Source organism: Homo sapiens, chromosome 9 (genome assembly GCF_000001405.40).
Source record: "Homo sapiens chromosome 9, GRCh38.p14 Primary Assembly".
Lineage (NCBI taxonomy): Eukaryota > Metazoa > Chordata > Mammalia > Primates > Hominidae > Homo > Homo sapiens.
The window spans coordinates 26,667,360-26,674,583 of record NC_000009.12 but is presented as its reverse complement, the minus strand read 5'-3'; the positions used below and the strand labels follow the sequence as shown (position 1 = coordinate 26,674,583).

Below are 7,224 nucleotides of genomic sequence, written 5' to 3'. Positions count from 1 at the left end.
TTTGCACACATGGCCAGTACCCCCACTGTCATACTAAAGGGTTGACATGGTTATTCACATTTAACAGAGGGGTAGATTGAAGGCTGAATGTTAAGTGACTTGATCAAGATCATATTGCTCACAGGAGGCAGACCTTGGATTTTGTCATGGAACATTTCTATTTTTAGGATTACATTCTTTTGGAAAGGTACATTATTCTCATTGGTTTCTTAACTATTTAAAACAACCTTTTTGTGTTCAGGAACAGTTCTACTTTCCTGGTGTTGCTTTCATCCTGCTCAGGGGTGTGGTTGGAAAATGTTTCTAGATGAAAACCATTTCTATTTGCAGAAATGGGCCAGATTAAAAATTCTTGAATGTTGCTGAGTTGCAGCAGACACAATTGAAAAAATGTCATCCCTCTGTCTTGTCTTTAAGTGTAATGATTAATATACCATTGCAGGATGATCTATGTGCCCATAGATTACTGCCTGAATCACCGTGTCTACTTTATGACTTATTGTCTGCCTGAGATAACTGAACATTTTATTTAAAAATAAGTGAGGGATTAAAGCACTTTTCTTTCCTGTTGGTCAATTTTTTTTTAAAGGAGGAAAGAAAACAAAAACTAGGTAGAAAAAGGACTGCACTGAGGCTCAGTTGAAATTAAGCAACTAGAGTCAAATCAATCATTTGTTGGTGAGATGTGTGAAAAGCTTAACAGATACTTAATGTTAACCAAACCTAAGAAATTTTACTGTAATAGATAGCTGATATTATTGAATATCAATACTTTTCTGAACATCATGAGACCACAAATATGGGGATGTCTTAGCAACTTGTGTAATTTTATAATATTCTTGAAAAGCAACTGGAGAAGGGACAAATAAAATTCAGGTATCCAAATGAGTAGAATTTAAAAGGTACACACGTTACTAATCCAGCTCCATTTTGCAATGTTCTTGGTTCATGTTTTTCTGCAGTTGTTTTTTTCCACTGTGGCAGAAGAAGGGAAAAGCAAGCTGGTCTTTTAAATTGATTGCATTACATTAGTTGCACTATAAGATTCTTTGAAGATGATTATCTTGTGGATTCTAGTTCCAGATCAGTGGACATTTGGCTGGAAGGATTTATATTGTGTGCTCAGAGAATTAGGCCTTAAATCAGTGTTACTGTAGGCTGTAGAGGGTTTGGTTTTTACAACTACAATAACTAACTCACTGGGGAAGTATATGTGTGACCCTTTCCTCATATTCCAAGGGAAGTGTGTGTTTGATCATCAGTGCTTTAAATTCTAAAAAGCAGTACAACAGAAACATTAGCTTTCCTATGGCCATGAGTTTGTTTCACTTGGTAAAGAGATTCTATATAGAGGGGAAATAGTTGCATTAGTCTGTAATTTGTGAGAGAATTGAACTTTTGATTCCACAGAGAAGAACACTTAGATTGTATTATATGAGGTTTGGGGGACATTTTTTAAGCAGAAGGCTGCCTAAGTCCTTTTTAACATTTCTGTTTTTCTTTTTCTGAAAAGAGATTTTTCTAAAAGTAATAGTAGAAATATTTTCTAGGAAAGACAGGGGAATACAGATTTATGTCCATCCATTTTTATATTTGTTCTTTTATCCAACTATTTGTTCTTAAAACAATGAAGCACTCATGGAAGCTAGGCTCTGCCTTTTAGGGAGCTCCTAGTTTGGTGGTAGAAAGCAGATTAAGAATGACTCTTTACCATTCAGTGTGATAAGGGCTGAGAGAAAGAGAGAGAGAGACAAGCACAAGGTGCCCTGGGAACATAGAGGCTGGCATGATGAACCACCCAGAAGAAGAAAGCTACATTCTTAAAATGGGAAGAAAAAATGCTAGAGTTTGGTTTTTGTGAGCATTTAAAATTGAGGCAACGTTAGTAGATCTACACATTTTGCATACCTGGCAGTGGGATGTAGTGTGAATGAGATATGGAAATTCATAAGAAATTCATTGGGAGGGACCTTAGGGATCATCTGGTCCAGTCTCCTCAATGCAAGAATCCCATCAACATCCACTTTAACAATGGTTTGGTTGCATTCTTTCACTTCCTTACAAGTCAGCCTGTTTCACAATGAAATAAAAAATCTGCTTTTTTTTTTTCCAGATTATTGGTTCTATTACAGCTCTCCAATGCAAAGCAGAGCAAAGGCATGCTCTGACATGACTGCCTTTTAAAAGTTCATGTTAAGTTTGCGATCAACTAAACCCCGTAGGCACTTTTTTTTTATTCATACAAAGCATTATAAAACATATAAACGTTTTTTTTGCATCCCATTTGTGCAATTGATTGTTTTCCATCTAAAGCCAGGACTTCACATTTTATTTCTATACAGTTACTTGAGTTCACTTTAATGTTCCACTTTAAAGATAATTTTATTTCTGTATTCTGACATCTCTCATATTAGCCATTCTGCTACAATCTATGCTACCTGTAAACTTAATTAATATGCAGCCTATATCTTTATCCAGGTCACTGATGAAAATGTTATAGAGAAAAGGTGGGAGGACAGAGTTCTTGGAATTTTCACAAATCATCTTCTTTGGGATATGTTTGTTTAACTAGACACGAGTCAACTTAACCACTCAAACTCATTGTCTTATTATTCAAAGGATGTTGTAGATAGGATGACCATATAGACTGGTTTGCTCAGGAGAGTTCCAGTTTACCCCATTAAGTTCTGCTTTGCACCTGCTATTGAGGCATAATTAAATAGCACACCTTTTCACTCTCAACAGTATTCTGGTTTGGTGGAGAGTATTATGGTTACCGTAATAATCAGAGACTACACCAAATGACTTGGGAGGAACTCTACAACTATCATAATCATGGAGCTCTCCTGGGCCCTCCAATTTACTAGTCCTATCATACAATGAAACGAGATTTGTTTGCCAAATTTGTTCTTAATCTATTCATTGTTCTTGGTATTCATGAATTTTTCTAAATATTTGCAAATCATCCAAAGCTTTTTATTTACCATTAGGAATTACATTTAAATTTACCAGTTTGTAATTACAGTTTTTGTTTATTGTGTACTTACTATGTGCTAGGCATTCATCCAAGTGTTTTACAAGTTTTACCTCATTTAATCTCTCATAACCCTATGAGGTAGGAATTATCACCCACAATTTACAAGTAAAGAAAATGAGCTATAATAGGTTAGAAAACTTTGCCAAAGACTCAGAGCTAATAAAAGGTAGAGAAAATATTCACACATAGGCAATTGGATTCCAGAGTCCTTGCTCTGTCACACTAATTTCCAGAATTCATCCTCTTCTCTATTTGAAATGTGACATCAAAAAAAAAAAATAAATAAAAGCTAAATTGAAAAATACCCCTCCTCCTAGAAAATCGTTTAAAACTAGGCAAGAAAGCTAAGATAATATAAATTTTCCAGGACACTAGCAGAAATTGATGGAATTATACAATTTAAAGGACAAAGCTGAGGGACACCCCACAAAGCTTCTGACAAATGGGCCATAAAAGTGCTCACAGACCACTGTAGCTCAGAAACATTCTTCTAGCCCTTGAACTTCCCTGGCTCCTAGATTGGCTTACAACATTTGTCATCACTTTTCTTTGGCCCAGGGACGGAGAAAAAGATCACAATGAGCCTAAAAGCCCATTTTGGGTCATTTTTCTTAGAAAAGTGGCCAGTTTCATATTATGGGAGTTCATGTCTATGTTCATGCATACGATAGCAAAGTGTTTCAAGGTAAAATGAAAAAAAATGGTTTTAGAACTATTTTATTATTTTTGGATGCTTGTTTTTGCAATACCTGGCACACAGAAATACTGAATACATGTCTGTTGAATAAATGAACATATTCCCACAAAAATTCTCTGTAATTTAGGGAGTAACAAAGTAGGGAAGGATGGGGTATATCTTCAAAGGTCCTTTGTATCTTTTGCTTTTTTTTTGGTTCAGAATGCTCAGCCCTGCAGTTTCTTATACCTACAGCTTTTAAAGAATGTCACTTACCATGGAAGGGATATTCCTTTCTCACCCTCTCCAAGCACATTCTTCATTCCAAGGCACATAACTTATTTATTATGTTATGCTAATGAAGGTACAGCACTGCTTTAGAATATACCATGCTCTGTGTGAAAGGCAGAAAGAAAAGGACCCCATAAATACAAAGAATCTGGACCAGAGAACATTTTATTACAAGACTCACTCCTTTCTTAAAGACAGTAAACATGATGAATTTCTCTTTGCAACTGAATTTATGAAGATAGATGATTCTCTCTGTGGTTGTTTTAACTGGGTTTGCCTTGCGGTCTGATGCAGAGTTGCAAACCCACACAAATACATTTATCGCCATCCCTAATGACAGGATACAATGTCTTATTGTATCATATGACTGAGTGGGACCTAAGAAAGCCACATTATGTTTCACCACAGGGATAGAAAAGGATTCATCTGACTTAGCTGTTTCAGTAGGAAAGGCCCCAGTGTTTTCTGTAAGGGAAGCCTTGAACTGCCTTAAATATAACTTTTCTACAACTTTTTGTAGTACTCTTTTCAGAGTCAGCCTGAAAAAAAATCTTTTGCTGAGACTTTTTCAAATGCCAAAGCAGGAATTGGGAGAGCTTTGTACTTGATTCTCATACATTCAGTTCACAGTTTGGCATTCTGCTGAGCTGACACAGAAGGGAGAAGTAAAATCAAGGGGGGAAGGGAAGGGAAATGGAAGGTTTCTGAGCTCAGTGTTTAAGAGTCTTTCTCACTCAAAACGCTGTTCAAGCCTGAGTGCACATGCACAGCCACACAAGGGAACTGGCTCCACTTTGCTAATGATGGCAGCGCGCATCATTTGCTATGCAGATCACAGAAGAAAGCCATTCTGCTTAGCTCTAATTCCATCAGGATCATTTACCTTTTGAAGGATAGAAAAGAATGAATTGAAGATCAAAATCATCAGCCTTATTGGCTTCATCCAAGATTTATGGCAGCTGCTTTCAAGGGCAACTGAAAAAACCAACTGCGGAATTCACATCTGTACCATTTCTTGTCTTTCAATATTTTATAAATGTTACGAGCAAAGTCAACCTCTGGGGATATTAAAATTAAACAACCTCTATCCCTCCCCTATATTGGAATGAGAGCATATATCAATAATTGCTATATTTAACTACTCTCATCTGTATCACACCTTTTAGGATTAGCTGTCTCAGAAGCCTGTATTTAGTTTACTATTCATTTGGCAAAGGTTATTATAATGTGGGATCTGTGTCTTTGTGATGTCAAAAGCATTAAACTTTGATTTAAATCGTTAATAATACAGTGTCCATTATTGCCAGTTTTAGACTTGAATTAAATTTTTTTAAAGAGCAAACATTTAAGGGATATCAACCAGCATTTGAAATGAAGATATATTGTCCTTAATTTAAGTGACCTGATGTGTGGACAAAAAAACCAAAAAAAACAACGTATATAAAAAAAATACCAGGAGGACATTTGCTGTGATCTCTGAGGAAGTAAATAAGGTTGCTTTGGTTTCTTTAGATGCTTTGATTAGTTTTGACAGCAAGAAATATATCTTGCTTTCATATGATAAAAGACTACAATGTAAGTGAGGCTGATACAGTGGCTCACAAATTATCCCAAGGATCAAGCACAGCAGACAAAAATTGATAAAGCAAATTAGCTTCCTATTTGCAAGATGCTCACAAGCTCTAAACTTCTCTTTTCTTAGTAAAACATTTACTCTTAAATCCCTAGTGAAGTAGCTCCTACAGATCTTCTTTGTGGTGTCTTCTGTTATTTCCAACAGATAAATGCCTTTCTCAGCTGGGTCTGCCAAGGTCTTGGCTCTTAGCCGTTATGCTCCGGGTCACAAAAAAGGTAAAATGCCAAATGTCAAAGAGAAATGGGCATGAGCTAACTAAATAAAGTCTAACTCATGAGAAGTGCTTAATATGGAATAAATTGCTCTTGCTGGAATGAATGGTGGAGCCAGAGAGTTCTATGTTCAAATCCAAGTTCTGCCTTATTAGCTGGGTCACCTTGGGCAAGTTACTTAACATCTCTGATGTTAAGCTTAATATCTTTTCTGTAAGATGAAGATACTGATAGGTCCCTCAGAAAGTTGCTGTGAGAATTAAGTGATTTAACATATCTGTTAAGTGTCTAGAGCAGTGCTTGGTGCATAGAAGGGGATGGATAAATGTTAGTTCTTTTTCCTAACCTCTTCTTATTAGGATTCAGTATGATATTCACAAAATGGTTACCAGTATCTATTTCATGTGTTTACCTTTGAGAGTATGTTTATTTAAGAAACTCAAGAGAGAAGGTTAATAGTATGAGAATTACTCCTGAGTATGATCCTGTATTATGGGCATTGCTGTCACAGTTCATAGAAATGGAAAGTGGAGTCAGAGAGTGAGAGACAGAAAGAGAAATTCTGTTATATTCCAAAGGGCATGTGACCTAACTGGAGTGCATTGACACTGGGATGAACTCTTTAGCCTCAGATTGTCCTTCCGTTCTCCTTGGCTCACTTTTCCATTCTCCTTGGACTCAAAACTCTCCCTTTGGCTTACTCAGCTCAGCCACATCAGGACTCCTAACAGTTTGTAGAACTTGCCATGCTTCTTTCTGCTCCAAGGTCTTTGCACTTACTCTTTCTTATGCCTGGAACAAATTTCCTTCTGGTATTAGCACAATTGACTTCCTCTCATCTTAAATACTAACTCCTCAGAGAGGCTTTCCTTGCTCATTCTAAGCAAGGTAGCTCCCTCACCACCATTTTTTGTGCCGTAGCAACCTTTTAATTTCCCCTTTCCCCTTACGTAAAACTAGTTACTGTTTTTGTTTGTTTAATCATCTGTCTTTGCATGTCTGTCTTCTTTCTTGCTCTGGCTAATAGCCTAGCTCAGTACACAACAACGGGTTAGTTGCTGAATAATAATAATTATATTAACAATAATAATAACTAACACTTGAAAAGTGCCTTCTATGTGCCAGCTGCTGTTCTTTACTTATATCAGCTGTTTAATTCTCCTCAAAACCCTATTCCCATATTACAAATATAGAAAATGAGATATGAGGCCGGGCCCAGCGACTCATGCTGTAATCCTAGTATTTTGGGAGGCTGAGGTAGGCCGATCGCTTGACCCCAGGAGTTGGAGACCAGCCTGGGCAACATGACGAAACCCTGTCTCTACAAAAATTACAAGTATTAGCCAGGCATGATGGTGCACAACTGTAGTCT

At 36.8% G+C, this 7,224-nt stretch overlaps 1 annotated feature.

Annotated features, from left to right (window-relative positions):
• Positions 4,738–4,817: a silencer, noted in NCBI's record as "silent region_19817". NCBI's record gives its function as "represses an Ori minimal core promoter by ATAC-STARR-seq in GM12878 lymphoblastoid cells {active_cell/tissue: GM12878}" and the evidence as "EXISTENCE:reporter gene assay evidence [ECO:0000049][PMID:35858748]".